Raw genomic sequence first — 14833 nt, 5'->3', positions numbered from 1 at the left:
AAACTCCTGACCTCAAATGATCCACCCGTCTTGGCCTCCCAAAGTGCCAGGATCGCAGGCATGAGTCACCACGTCCGGCCAGGTTGGGTTTTTTTGTCATGGAAAGGGAACAGCCAGTATGGTAGAGTGGTTAAGATGCTAGGCTCTGACCTTAAGAAAGTTATTAAATTTTTTTTGTGTCTTGGAGAGAGGTATCTGCCTCAGGTATTATTTGCATTGCTGCCAAATAAAGACATAATCCATGTAGAACACTCAGAACAGTGTCTGATACCCAGAACTCCATAACGATTACTCTTATCATTAACAATGGCCACTGTTGCTTATCATTTTAATAGACTATGATGACCAACTCTTAAACTATCTTCAAAAAACTTTCCTGCATCATAATGAAATCACCTTTGCCTGAGTAGAAACAGTTTCAACATGTGAAGCAGATGTGACTACAGATGAAAACAGTCTGCAGAAGTCCCAGAGACTCATGACAAACCCAGCTTCCAAAACAGCCTTTTCCCCTCTCATAGCAGGCTGTGCCACTAAAGACAGATTCTCCCTCTGTGCTGCATTCCTGGAACAAGCAGCCAGTCTCTCTACCTTGCACACGCTGATGATTTCTAGTTGTTTCACTTAAGCACATCCAGGTACTCTCCCCAACACGTACAGCTCTGCCAGGCCAATGCACGTGTCTGTTTCCTTCATAACTCTTTGCAGCTCCACCACAATGTTGCACAAGGCAGGCATTTACTAAAAGCTCCACAAGTGAATGGATCCGTATCTTCCAGAGTAAGAGACAGCATGCAACTTCCCACATCATATGAATGCCTTGAAAATTATTTGTTTTTGTTCCATTTGATCAAGTTTGTAAAACAAGCTAAATGCCTTCTATTGACTTCCTGATATTTGTGGATTCAGAGCCCAGGAAGATTCTTGTATCTATATCAGACAACAAATAGAACCCCGTGTGTGTGTGTGTGTGTGTGTGTGCGCGCGCGTGCGCGCGCATGTGGGGGAGGTTGGAAGGATGAGAATTAAGGGGAAAATTTCCATTTATTGAGCATCTGTATACCTATACTACATTGTCGGTATTCTTGTACATCATTTCAATTAATGCACAACACCAATGAGGACATCAAAGCAGGAAGGTTCCATGTCCACTGCCACATGGCTAACAAAGAGCTGGTCCTAGCTGGGAGCAGTGGCTCACACCCGTAATCCCAACACTTTGGGAGGCTGAGGCAGGTGGATCACTTGAGGTCAGGAGTTTGAGACCAGCCTGGCCAACATGGTGAAAACCCGTCTCTACTAAAAACACAAAAATTAGCTGAGTGTGGTGGCTTGCGCCTGTAATCCCAGCTACTCAGGGGGCTGAGGCAGGAGAATCACTTGAACCTGGGAGGCAGAGGTTACAGTGAGTCGAGATCGTGCCACTGCATTCCAACCTGGGCAACAGACTCTGTCTAAAAAACAAAAAAAGAAAAAAGAGAGCAGATCCTGGCTTCAAATCCATTCCTGTCTACTCCAAAATCTGCCTTCACCACCACAGAAGTACGGGCTCACTGCAGTTGGGCACACAACAAGCTTAAGCTAACCTTACTGCTTATTTAAACTATAAAGCCATCTACTGAGGCCTTCCACAGAAAGTAATCCCCACCCCATAATATTTTAAAATAAAACTTAGGGTTAGTTAACAGTACTCCTGAGATGCCTACAGTGTACAGTTGAATAATTCACTTAACCTGAATTGAGGAAACATATGGCTGGGTGCTTGGCCAGGCCAAATTGCCACATCCTCCACTCCATTATTTCTTCCTGAGGCTGGGCTTGCGGTAGACCCCGCAGCCCTGAACGACTCCACCCACAGGCCCCATGGGAAAAGCTGTGACTGAAATGCTGGCACAGCCGCTGCCACCCAGGCACTCGAGGCCTCCGAGGGGTGTCCCCCTCCTGGGCTTTTCACCCCAGCACTGCAGATAAGAAAATGAAATGGAAGTAAGGAGCCAGGGGGATGGGGGCAGCAGCTCCGTCCATCCCCACCAACTCCATCACCCCAACCTGGGGCAGAAGACCTGGACTTGTAACTCACAGACTAGGAAGCATAGGCCAGATACAGATAGAGGCTTCACCTCAGCTGGCTGCAGAGGGCAGGAGGGCTGCGTGTCATCACATCCTGCTTCACCCTGGTCCACCCTCCCCAAGGAAAGCTTCCTGAGGAAATCCTGACTGCTACAGAGAAATGGGTGGTTCAGCCCGAGGACGTAAACAAGAGCAATGTGTTTTGTTCTGTTTCCCTGCAGACCTGCGCAGGGCCTCTGGCTAAACAATTCTTTGGCAGCCATGCAACTAAAAACCAAGCTAAGCGGTGGCTCAGACAACTAAAACTTGTAAGTAAGAATGTGCATGGTCAGACTCAACTGAGGATTGCTAAAAGGACTGAGGTGTGTTCTCACCTAAGTTTTTAGCTTAAGGAAGCATAATTATAAACCGCGATTACTTTTGCACCAACCTAATACAATAACAAAAAGATACACTGTGGCCAGGTGCGGTGGCTCACGCCTGTAATCCCCGCACTTTGGGAGGCCGAGGAAGGTGGATCACCTGAGGTCAGGAGTTCGAGACCAGCCTGGCCAATGTGGTGAAACCCTGCCTCCACTAAAAATACAAAAATTAGCCAGGTATGGTGGCAGGCGCCTGGGAGGCAGAGGTTGCAGTGAGCAGAGATCACGCCATTGCACTCCAGCCTGGGCAACAGAGCAAGACTCAGTCTTAAAAAAAAAAAAAAAAAAGCTACCCACTAGTTACAGAATCCATCAGAACCCAAAGATGATGAGAAGGAAGGGAAATTACTTGCAGAAGCGTATCCAAATGGAATCCTTGGCTTATGCCTGTAATCCCAGCACTTTGGGAGGCAGACGGGCAGGATCAGGAGGTCAGGAGTTTGAGACCAGCCTGACCAATACGGTGAAACCCCGTCTCTGCCAAAAATACAAAAATTACGCGGGCTTGGTGGCCCGTACCTGTAATCCCAGCTACTCAGGAGGCTGAGGCAGGAGAATCGCTTGAACCTGGGAGGCAGAGGTTGCAGTGAGCTGAGATCGCACCATTGCACTCCAGCCTGGGCAACAAGAACAATACTCCATCTCAAACAAACAAACAAACAAAACAAATGGAATCCCTATTTTCTTTTAGTTTTACAAATGACAAAATTCAGGCCCAAACCTAAATGCTTGCCGAGCTTATACTCAGGATCCAGACATTGCAAGTCAGACACCAGAAATGCACCATCGCCCCACCAAGTCCGGACAAGACTTTAAATGAAGTTCTTCTTGTTCTGTTGTCTGCTCGTCTCCTTCCAAGTATCCAATATTTTCTTGTGTCTATATCTTAGCAACTAAGTTCCTCAGCACAGTGTCTACCTTTCTTAAACTTCTTCTCAAAAATGATCTCTATGGGTTTTTTTTGGTTTGTGTTTTTGAGACAGGCTCTCCCTCTTTTGCCCAGGCTGGACTGCAGTGGCGCGAACACAGCTCACTGCAGCCACAATGTCCCAGGCTCAAGCAATCTTCCCACCTCAGCCCTCCAAGTAGTTGGAAATACAGGCAGCGCTACCATGCCTGGCTAATTTTTTTTTTTCTTTTCTTTTTTGAGACAGAGTTTCACTCTATCCCCCAGGCTGGAGTGCAGTGGTGCCACCTCGGCTCACCGCAACCTCCACCTCCCAGGTTCAAGCAATTCTCCTGTCTCAGCCTCCTGAGTAGCTGGGATTACAGGCGCACGCCACCACGCCTGGCTAATTTTTGTGTTTTTAGTAGAGATGAGGTTTCACCACTTTGGCCAGGCTGGTCTCAAACTCCTGACCTCAGGTGATCTGCCTGCCTTGGCCTCCCAAAGTGCTGGGATTACAGGCACGAGCTACCCTGCCCGGCTAATTTTTGTATTTTTTTTTTGTAGACATGGGGTTTCATCATGTTGTGCAAGCTGGTCTCGAACTCCTGAGCTCAACGATCCACCCACCTCAGCCTCCCAAAGGGCTGGGATTATAGGGATGAGCCACTACACCCAGGCAAAAATGATCTTTATATTCCTAGCTCCATCTCTCCTTCAGTTAAAGCTCCCATTATGTGAGCCATTTCAGCAAGGGAGAGCAAGACATCAAAGGTGCTTAAGGATCGATCATGGAGGATGCATCATTTGAATTCTTAAAGGGAAATATGGTCATGAGGTGGGCAAGAATGAGATGTACTTCAGTATGACCCCCTCCTCATCACCTCTACCAGGAGAACCAACAATATCTTTGCAGAGAACTCTGTGCCCTGCAAGATGTCTCAGTTAAAAAAAAAAAAAAGATAGTAAAAGAATTTGATCCAATAAAACAAAAAATGGCCATCAGGCTTCCTAAATACTGTAAATGTCAAATGACTGATACAAATAGTAGGTGCTAAAGAATGTGCAAAGAAGAGAAATACTGATTTTGCAATGTCAACAGACCATACGATTTAAAAAAGCAATCATGGGTTGTAAATCATATGATAATGAGGCATGACAGCTGGGAGCTAGCTTGATCACAAAGTACCTGACACAGTGAAATACTTGAAGGGAAAATTTTCTTTTTCCTCTCCTTTCTTTTTTTTTTTTGTGACAGAGTCTCACTTTGGTGCCCAGGCTGGAGTGCAGTGGCACGATCTCAGCTCACTGCAACCTCCGCCTCTCAGGTTCAAGTGATTCTCCTGCCTCAGCCTCTCAAGTAGCTGGGATTACAGGCACATACCACCATGCCTGGCTAATTTTTGTATTTTTGGTAGAGATGGGGTTTCACTATGTTGGCCAGGCTGGTCTCCCACTCCTGACCTCAGGTGATCTGTCTTCCTAAGCCTCCCAAAGTGCTGAGATTACAGGCATGAAGCACTGTGCCCGGCCGGAGGGAAAATTTTTGTTAATCATGGAATGTTCTTAATTTTTTAATATTGGTATCTTTGACTCCATGCTTCATTTGTACTATTTTGCAATGTTTCCTATGGTCAGAACCCTTGGGGATGATGCAGACTCTATCCTTGTGTTCTTCCCATTTCCCGTGGCAGAACCTATTCTCATCTTGACCTTGTATCTACAGAAACCTTCCTTTTGGACTTGAGTCATTTCCTGTCCCAACTATAGCAACTGCTAGCCTTACGTTCTTCTTGAATATTGAATTGTGAACTCTAAACGTGCTCAGGACAGGCAACTTTCACGTTTCAACTTCCACCCTACATTAGTTAGGAGTCTACACTCTTGCTTTTGTAATCCATCGCTGAGCTTGATTCAAAATTACTGATTCCACTGTCATTCTTTTAATTGAGTATGGTCCTCTCCACACACCCCATCGACTTCCCACAGCTAATGGTGAGTGTGTGTGTCCCCAAAGGAAAGTGGAGCAGTGGTGAGCCATCTCTCAAGACTTCAGGGGACCTTTCCCTTCGTGACCATGAATCATCTTCCTTCTCGATCTCAACGTGAAAACTTTCCTTTTCCTCTGCTAATAAGAAGTTTCTTAATAGGATGTCTGCTGGGCTGTGTAATAATCTCCAAAGGGAAGTGATGGAGGTTTTGGCATGAGTCATTGACGTGGAGCTGGAGGAAGTAATGGGCAGTAATGGACCAGAGGGAGCAGTCCTTTACCAACAGGATGGGCTGCCGATGAGCTGGGAAATTTTATTTTTCTAACTCTCCATTTTTATATTACTTGGTGAGGACATTTCTCTCAATGCATTTACTCTGAATGAATGGTGGGCATTAATATTAATTTATTCAGGGATCAGAACTTTTTAGAATGTATGTCCCATTAGAGTTTAATTAAAATGTCCATTATAGAATCCACAGGGAATAAAATATCCTATAAGTGGTTTCCATTTTCTCCATATCCTCTTTTACTTTCATTGCTAACCCTCAGCAATCCAGCAAGGAGTGATTTCTGACTCTCCAAATCTTGTAAGATGCCTGCACATCTTACACAGCCTCAAAGACCAGGGAGTGAGGTGGTACCAGGAGGGGTCTGAAGCAGAGGTTAAGAAGAGCCTCAATCGGCCGGGCGTGGTGGCTTATGCCTGTAATCCCAGCACTTTGGGAGGCCGAGACGGGTGGATCACGAGGTCAGGAGTTCAAGACCAGCATGGCCAAGATGGTGAAACCCCGTCCCTACTAAAAATACAGAAAATTAGCCGGGTGTGGTGGCGGGCGCCTGTAATCCCAGCTACTCAGGAGGCTGAGGCAGAGAATTGCTTGAATCTGGGAGGTGCAGGTTGCAGTGAGCGAAGATCGTGCCACTGCACTCCAGCCTTGGCAACAGACCAAGACTCCATCTCAAAAAAAAAAGAAGTGTTGGGAGGCCCAGGCAGGCGCATCATTGGAGCCCAGGAGTTTGAGGCCAGTCTGGGCAACATGGTGAAACCCTGTCTCTACAAAAAAATAAATAAATAAAAAAAATAAAGAAGAGCCTCAATCACTCCGTCCCTAACACTATCCACCGCCACGTCCTCCAGAACACCGTGATTCATCTGATGTTGCATTCAAAGGATTGAGGACAGGGAATTCAAAGGGTGAGGCCAAGGGGTGAGGCAGGGCAGCCCTGTGTTTATGGATATCACCACCAAGGTTCCTTTGCAGCCATGCAGCCCATGCCCAAAACCCTTGGCCAGGGTCCCTGCCCCACATCAGCATATCTGCCCAGACCTAAGAAGCCACTTCAGGAATCCCTGCACCAATAAGACTTCTATGCTGCACTACAACTTTCTCTCCACACCCTCTCTCCCAGCTCTGTCCTGGGTGGCAGTTGGGATAGGTAGCAGTTGAGATTCAAAGAGGAAAACAAAGAGGTATTATCTTCTTTAGGAAACTTTAACTCAATTCCACTACTTGTATGTATGTATGTATTTTTGAGGCAAGGTCTTGCTCTGTTTCCCGGGCTGGAGTGCAGTGGCACAATCATGGCTCACTGCAGCCTCAACCTCCTGGGCTAAGGTGATCCTCCTGCTTCATCCTTCCAAGTAGCTGGGACTACAGTCACACGCCACCACACCTGACTAATTTTTTATTTTTTGTAGAGAAGGGGTCTCACTATGTTACCCAGGCTCAATTCCACTATTTTAAAACAAAGATGGAAAGCATTCCTAAGCCTCCGTTTCCTCATACGACCACACCCTCACCCTCACCTCACTTTCAAAAAAAAAAAAGGCATATAATAGTAAAAATGGCAAGCAGGAAAGGGGAGAAAACCAGGGGCATTAGACTGAGGCCTTGTGTGGGAGGGAAGATGGGGCACATTGCAATCTCTTCCTCATTGCTCAGTCCACATCACTGCTTATCTCATAGAACCTAGTAAGAAATGCTGGACATTTGGCCAGGCATGGTGGCACATGCCTGTAATCCCAGCTACTCGGGAGGCTGAGGCAGGAGAATCTCTTAAACCAGAGAGGCAGAGGTTGTAGTGAGCCAAGATGGCGCCACTGCACTCCAGCCTGAGCGACAAAGCAAGACTCCATCTCAAAAAAAAAAAAGAGGCCAGGCACGGTGGCTCACGCCTGTAATCCCAGCACTTTGGGAGGCCAAGGTGGGCGGATCACAAGGTCAGGATATCGAGACCATCCTGGCTAACACGGAGAAACCCCGTCTCTACTAAAAATACAACAAACAAACAAACAAAAAATAGCTGGGCGTGGTTGTGGGCGTCTGTAGTCCCAGCTACTCGGGAGGCTGAGGCAGGAGAATGGCATGAACCCGGGAGGCGGAGCTTGCAGTGAGCCGAGATCGCGCCACTGCACTCCAGCCTGGGCGACAGAGTGAGACTCTGTCTCAAAAAAAAAAAAAAAAAGAAAAAGAAAAAGAAAAAAGAAATGCTGGACATTCATCAGGGAAACCGTGCTTCCCTCTGTCTCTGTCTCTCCTGTTGCTCACTAAGTACCCTGGAGGAGGCCCCTGTCTTCTTCTTCCACACTGGTCCAACCCATACCTGATAAATGTTTCCTGAGTCGGTTTCTATGCTGCCATGGCCAGGGTCATATTGAGGCTCTCTGCTTATCTATCTTCTCAATGTTCTTTTTCTACTGGCCAAGGTGTAGGGCTGTGCAAGGTAGGAAACCTGGAAAAAGTTCTGCTGTCCTTTTTTTCCCTTTCCTTTTTTTTTTTGAGACAGAGTTTCACTCTTGTTGCCCAGGCTGGAGTGCAATGGTGCGATCAGCTCACCACAACCTCTGCCTCCCAGGTTCAAGCGATTCTCCGGCCTCGGCCTCCCGAGTAGCTGGGACTACAGGCATGCACCACCACGCCTGGCTAATTTTGTATTTTTAATAGAGACAGGGTTTCTCCATGCTGGTCAGGCTGGGCTGGTCTCAAACTCCTGACCTCAGGTGATCCACCCGCCTTGCCCTCCCAAAGTGCTGGGATTACAGGCATGAGCCACCGCGTCTGGCCTTGCTGTCTTTATACTTTCCTCTTTCTCCCAACAGCTCAAAGCTGCTACCCTGTGGTAATAGAGCAGCCATCTGTATTGTTTCCTAGGGGCTGCCATAACAAAGCACCAATAATTGGGTGGCTTAAAACTACAGAAATGTATTGTCTCCCAGTTCTAGAGGCTAGAGGTCCTCGCCACTTCCTAGCTGCTGGGGGCTGCCAGCGATCTTCGGCATTCCTTAGCCTGCAGGTGCATCACTGCAATTCTCCACCATCACATGCTGTTCTCTGTGGGTGTCTTTACTTCATCTTCCCCCCGTGCACATCTGTGTCTGTGTCCCAGTAAGGACATCAATCATGTTGGACTAGGGCCCACCCTAATGACCTCAACTTAACTTGGCTAAATCTGAAAAGAAGCCATTTCCAAACAAAGTCACACTCAGATACCAGGGATTAGGACTTCGAGGTATCCTTTTTTGTGGGAAAAAAAATCAACCCACAACCACACCTCACAGGGTCACTGTAACAATTAAATGAGTTAAGGTATGGAGAGAGCTTAGTATAGTGTTTAACACATAGTCCATGCTCCATAAATAACTGCAGCTAATATCAATATTATCCTTACTCTTATTACTAGGTCATCCATTCTTTCTGCCCCACAGCATCTTTGTTAAAAAGGCTTTAAAGCCTGGCGGGGGGGTGGCTCACGCCTGTAATCCCAACACTGGGGGGCCAAGGTGGCAGATCACTGGCAGTCAGGAGTTTGAGACCAGCCTGGTCAACCAAAATGGTGAAACCCTGTCTCTACTAAAAATACAAAAATTAACTGGACGTGGTAGCACATGCCTGTAATCCCAGCTATTCAGGAGACTGAGGCGAGAGAATCGCTTGAACCCAGGAGGTGGAGGTTGCAGTGAGCCAAGATCACGCCACTGCACTCCAGCCAGGGCAACAGAGCAAGACTCTGTCTCGAAAAAAAAAAAAAAAAACAAAGGCATTAAAAGCAAGTCCTGTGGCAGCCAAGTTTCAAAGAATATTCCAGCTATCACACAAAAATGCAACCTCCAATCCAACTCCTTGGGAAAAAATCAATTACGATGACTGACTAGATTAAAAAAAAAAATGAAGGACGTCCCTTGTTCTGTCCACTGAGCTCTGAGGCATCAAGGAAGCATGGAATGCAGAGCCATGTAGGAATCAGTAAAGGAAGTCCTCCAAAGAAGCAGGTGACAACCAAATTTCTGGTTCCTTTGGTTTGTAAAGAAAGAAAAAAAAAATTCAGCTGGGTGCGGTGGCTCACGCCTGTAATCCCAGCACTTTGGGAGCGGAGGCGGGTGGATCACAAGGTCAGGAGATCAAGACCATCCTGGCTAACACGGTGAAACCCCGTCTCTACTAAAAATACAAAAAATTAGCCAGGCATGGTGGCGGGCACCTGTAGTCCCAGCTACTCAGGAGGCTGAGGCAGGAGATTCACTTGAATCCGGCAGGCAAAGGTTGCAGTGAGCTGAGATTGCACCACTGTACTCCAGCCCTGGCAACAGAGTGACTCTATCTCAGAAAAATAAAATAAAATAAAAGACAATAAAGAAATCTGCTGCATCAAGGGACTCTTCCTTTCATGAAAGATTTCTCCTTAACATACTATACTGTGTGATAGCACTTTACCCACAGCAGAACCTCTTTCAAAATAGGAATGAATCCTCTTAAACTCTGATACTGCTTTATCAACTAAGTTTATGGAATACCCAAAATCCTTTGTTGTCATTTTAACAATGTTCACATCATCTTCACCAGGAGTAGTTTCCAGCTCAAGAAACCACTTTCTTTACTCATCCATAAGAAGCAACTCCACATCTGTTCAGGTTTAATCATGAGATTGCAGCAATTCAGCTTCAAAATGTGACATAGGGACTCAAAATGAGCGCACGGTATTGGAAAAATGGCACCAAAAATCTTGCTCAACACAGGGTTGCCACAAACCTTCAATTTGTTAAAAAAAAAAAAAAAACCGGCCAAGCACAATGGCTCATGCCTGTAATCCCAGCTACTCAGGAGGCCGAGGCAGGAGAATCACTTGAGCCCAGGAGGCGGAGGTTACAGTGAGCTGAGATGGCGCAGCTGCACTTCAGCTTGGACAATAGAGTGAGACACCGTCTCAAGAAAAACAAAAACAAAAACAGAAACAAGCCATAACTGCAAAGTGCATAAAATGAAGTATGCCTATATATACATACTTGTATTTTTTTTTTATTTTTAAATAAAAATTCCAAGGACCACAGATGTTTAAACATGGCATTAGGGCCGGGTGTAGTGGCTCACGCCTGTAATCCCTGCACTTTGGGAGGCCAAGGCAGGCGGATCACAAGGTCAGGAGATCAAGACCATCCTGGCTAACACGGTGAAACCCCGTCTCTACTAAAAATACAAAAAATTAGCCGGGTGTGGTGATGGGTGCTTGTAGTCCCAGCTACTCGGGAGGCTGAGGCAGGAGAATGGCGTGAACCCGGGAGGCGGAGCTTGCAGTGAGCCGAGATCACGCCACTGCACTCCAGCCTCGGTGATGAAGGGAGACTCCGTCTCAAAAAAAAAAAAAAAAAAAACAAAAACATGGCATTAGGAAACAGGAAACCAAAGAACCAACCAAGCATCTAAGGAGGGGTGACTTAAATTTAACGCAAAACAATAAAGGTAATCACTTCTAGTTTTAAAAGATAGTTAAGAGTCTGGCCATATCCCTAGTTGTACAACAGTGACTATCTGTCACAACCAAGGCACTGGTACAATATCAGTGTGCTTCTCTCTGCCTCCATAAAAATTATTTTGAAACAGACCCTCCTGGGACCCCAGAAGGTAGTGTGTCACTATTCCCTCCCCTCATTCATTTTGCTAAGTAGTTTTTCTGCCAAAACAACACTCCGAGCCGCTTCAATCCTCCCTGCCAACTGCATTGCATAATTCAGTGCTTACTTCTCTTGAGCCAACCAGCAAATGCAAGATTCAAACCAATCTGCTTTCACTTGCTCATTGGTCTCTGGCTGATCCTTGGGAGCCATCGGTGACCTACAGTCCTTGAGCAACTCTCGCCCTGGATTATCTTCTTTATACATCAAGACTTGAAATAGAACATACTCAAACTTGTCTGCAAGTCTGTCTGCAGGTGTACAAATAACAGGTTTATGTGTCTTCAAATCTTGATTTTTTTTTTAAAGCCAAACCTAAGATAAAACCTAACTGCTCTGCAGCTTGAATTTTTTTTTTTTTTTTTTTTTTTTTGAGACGGAGTTTTGCTCTTGTTGCCCAGTCTGGAGTGCTGCGGTGCAATCTCAGCTCACTGCAACCTCCGCCTCCCAGGTTCAAGCGATTCTCCTGTCGCACCCTCCCGAGTAGCTGGGATTACAGGCACATGCCACCACACCGGGCTAATTTTTGTATTTTTAGTAGAGACGGGGTTTCATCATATTGGTCAGGTTGGTCTCGAACGCCTGACCTCAGGTGATCCATCTACCTCAGTCTCCCAAAATGCTGGGATCACAGGTGTGAGCCACTGTGCCTGGCCGAAAATCTTTTAGGTGACAACAGGAGGCTGACTTTCCCGATGTCGTGGAAGTAGGCCTTTCTATTTTCTACAATAAAGAACAAAGTGGACAGTCATGGGTGCTGTTCTGGAGCCTGTCTCAAGCTGGTTACAATGAGGAGTAGGAGTCTGTGCTTCTCTCCACCACCTTGGAATTGATGGACCTGCAAATGCAAAGCCTTAGGTGTTTGCCACACTGACCCACACTGGCATCCAAGACACCAGGATCCAGGGAGCCTGGGTGGAAACTGGGAAAACCCAGACTGTGGGAGACTTTCTGGCTTTACCATCAAACTCTGCTCAAAGAGCAGAGGCCAAATCCATCTGGGTCTGGTCCACCCTGTGGGGCAGTGTGCAAAGATATATAAGCTCAGTATTTTACCTGTTTTACAGGTAAAACAGATGAGTTTGGAAGTCTAAAATCTGCAGAAGCCAAAGTCAGCCAGCAATTGTTGAATTATGGTTATTGAATAAAATGTGGGTGTGTTTAAAAGGAAACCAGGAACCCTACATTATTTACATGGCCAAAGGATGCCAACAACAGGAAGTTTCTAGTAGCTCTGAGGGCATAAATCCAATCAGCATATGTGCACAGCAAAAGAAATAATCAGCAGAGTAAACAGACAACCCACAGAGTGGGAGAAAATTTTCGCAAACTATACACCCAACAAAGAACTAATATCCAGAATCTACAAGGAACTCAAACAAATCAGCAAGAAAAACAAATAATCCCATCAAAAAGTGGGCTAAGTACATGAATAGACAATTCTCAAAAGAAGATATACAAACGGCCAACAAACAAAGGAAAAAAATGCTCAACATCACTATCAGGGAAATACAAATCAAAACCCCAATGTAATACTACCTTACTTCTGCAAGAATGGCCATAATCAAAAAATAACAGATGTGGGTATGGATGTGGTGAAAAGGGAAAACACTTTTACACTGCTGGTGGGAATGTAAACTAGTACAACCACTATGGAGATTCCTTAAACAACTAAAAGTAGGCCAGGCGTGGTGGCTCACACTGTAATCCTAGCACTTTGGGAGGCCAAGGCTGGAGGATCACCTGAGGTCAGGAGCTCGAGACCAGCCTGGCCTGTCTCTACTAAAAATACAAAAATTAGCTGGATGTGGTGGTGGGTGCCTGTAATCCCAGCTACTTGGGAGGTTGAGGCAGGAGAATCGCTTGAACCCAGGAGGCAGAGTTTGAGGTGAGCCAAGACAAGAGCAAAACCCAGTCTCAAAAAAAAAAAAAAAAAAAAGAACTAAAAGTAGATCTACCATTTGATGCAGCAATCCCACTCCTGGGGGTATCTACCCAGAGGAAAAGAAGTCATTATATGAAAAAGACACTTGCACAGGCATCCTCATGGGCTGTGTGTGGTGGCTCATGCCTGTAATCCCAGCACTTTGGGAGGCTGAGGCAGGCGGATCACCTAAGGTCAGGAGTTCGAGACCAGCCTGGCCAACATGGTGAAACTCTGTCTCTACTAAAAATACAAGAATTAGCCAGGTATGGTGGTGTGTGCCTGTAATCCCAGCTACCCAGGAGGCTGAGGCAGGAGGATCACTGGAACCTGGGAGGCAGAAGCTGCAGTGAGCAGAGATCACGCCACTGCACTCCAGCCTGGGGGATAGAGCAAGACTCCATCTCAAAAAAGAAAAGAAAAGAAAAAAAAAAAAAAACAGAATGATACAATGGACTTTGGGGGACTTGGGGGGAAGCGTGGAAGAGGATGAGGTATAAAAGACTGCACACTGAGTGCTGTGTACACTCCTCAAGTGATGGGTTTACCAAAATCTCAGAAATTACCCCTAAAGAACTTATTCATGTAACCAAATACTACCTGACCTGTTCCCCAAAAACTATTGAAATTTTTTTAACCTGTATTCAAAAATAAAATAAAATAAAACCAATCAGCATATGTAAAAGTACATATGAAGTGCAAGAAATCATACCAATGTAAATATGATCATTCTAATCTCTAGAGCAGCACTTCTTAGATTAAGGGATGTGACCTGGTAAGCTTCTCTCGAGGTTTAAGGAATGTGTTCATTCTATTCGTCTCCCCTCCTGGTCTCTATGGAAGCTCTTCCACTATAGAAGGCATCCTGCTTTCTAAAGACCCAGACTCAGAATATGCAGCCACTCAGGGGCATGACAAACCAAAGAGTTCTTGATACAAAATATTAACGTGGGGTAACTAGCTGACATTTTCTTCTGTTGAAAAAGGAGCCAGTTCTTTGATAATGCTAAAGTTACATCATGAAGATTTTATAATATCTTCTACATATCATTTAGGAATCATTTGACACCTATTTAATGCTCATCATGAAGTCTCAGTTTCCCAATCCTCTAATCAAGGCAAATTGCTACTACACATCAGTGTTATGACGCTCTTCCAGTAAATCACCACCTGGGCGTCACATGTTAGGTGAGTTACAACAACATGTTGCAGAAGACAGTAATGACCATACCCCAGTAGACTATGTCTTAATGCCATACATTCTGAGAAGGTTTTTTTTAAAAAACTGTAATTCACAATAAAATGAGCCTTAAAAATGAAATGTTTTACCTTTTCAGAATAAATGTTTATGGTCTTTACAGACTTTCCCAAAGATTTCAAATTCCTGTAGGCTCTCTTTAGATTCATAACTAAATCATCCCAAAATAACAATTTATGTAAGTGGCAAGTTTGGCCGGGTGCGGTGGCTCATGCCTGTAATCCCAGCACTTTGGGAGGCAGAGGTGGGTGGATCACCTGAGGTCAGGAGTTCGAGACCAGCCTGGCCAACATGGTGAAACCCCATCTTTACTAAAATACAAAAATCAGATGG

At 45.5% G+C, this 14833-nt stretch overlaps 1 protein-coding gene across 10 annotated transcripts in view, besides 3 other annotated features; it reads right to left on the bottom strand.

Annotated features, from left to right (window-relative positions):
- The window catches only part of SASH1 (SAM and SH3 domain containing 1), a 358577-nt gene that overhangs the window by 182293 nt on the left and 161451 nt on the right, over positions 1–14833 (bottom strand). The gene's annotated exons all lie outside the window — the stretch shown is intronic.
- Positions 1454–2329: an enhancer, noted in NCBI's record as "H3K27ac-H3K4me1 hESC enhancer chr6:148688559-148689434 (GRCh37/hg19 assembly coordinates)". NCBI's record gives its function as "activates a minimal SCP1, AML or CMV promoter by ChIP-STARR-seq in primed H9 embryonic stem cells {active_cell/tissue: H9 hESC(primed)}" and the evidence as "EXISTENCE:reporter gene assay evidence [ECO:0000049][PMID:30033119]".
- Positions 2330–3206: an enhancer, noted in NCBI's record as "H3K27ac-H3K4me1 hESC enhancer chr6:148687682-148688558 (GRCh37/hg19 assembly coordinates)". NCBI's record gives its function as "activates a minimal SCP1, AML or CMV promoter by ChIP-STARR-seq in primed H9 embryonic stem cells {active_cell/tissue: H9 hESC(primed)}" and the evidence as "EXISTENCE:reporter gene assay evidence [ECO:0000049][PMID:30033119]".
- Positions 4893–5093: a silencer, noted in NCBI's record as "peak6206 fragment used in MPRA reporter construct". NCBI's record gives its function as "represses an SCP1 promoter by STARR-seq MPRAs in K562 erythroleukemia cells {active_cell/tissue: K562}" and the evidence as "EXISTENCE:reporter gene assay evidence [ECO:0000049][PMID:32103011]".

This window comes from Homo sapiens, chromosome 6 (genome assembly GCF_000001405.40).
Source record: "Homo sapiens chromosome 6, GRCh38.p14 Primary Assembly".
Lineage (NCBI taxonomy): Eukaryota > Metazoa > Chordata > Mammalia > Primates > Hominidae > Homo > Homo sapiens.
Note: the sequence above shows the minus strand (reverse complement) of the source record. Positions and strands in the feature narration are given on the sequence as shown.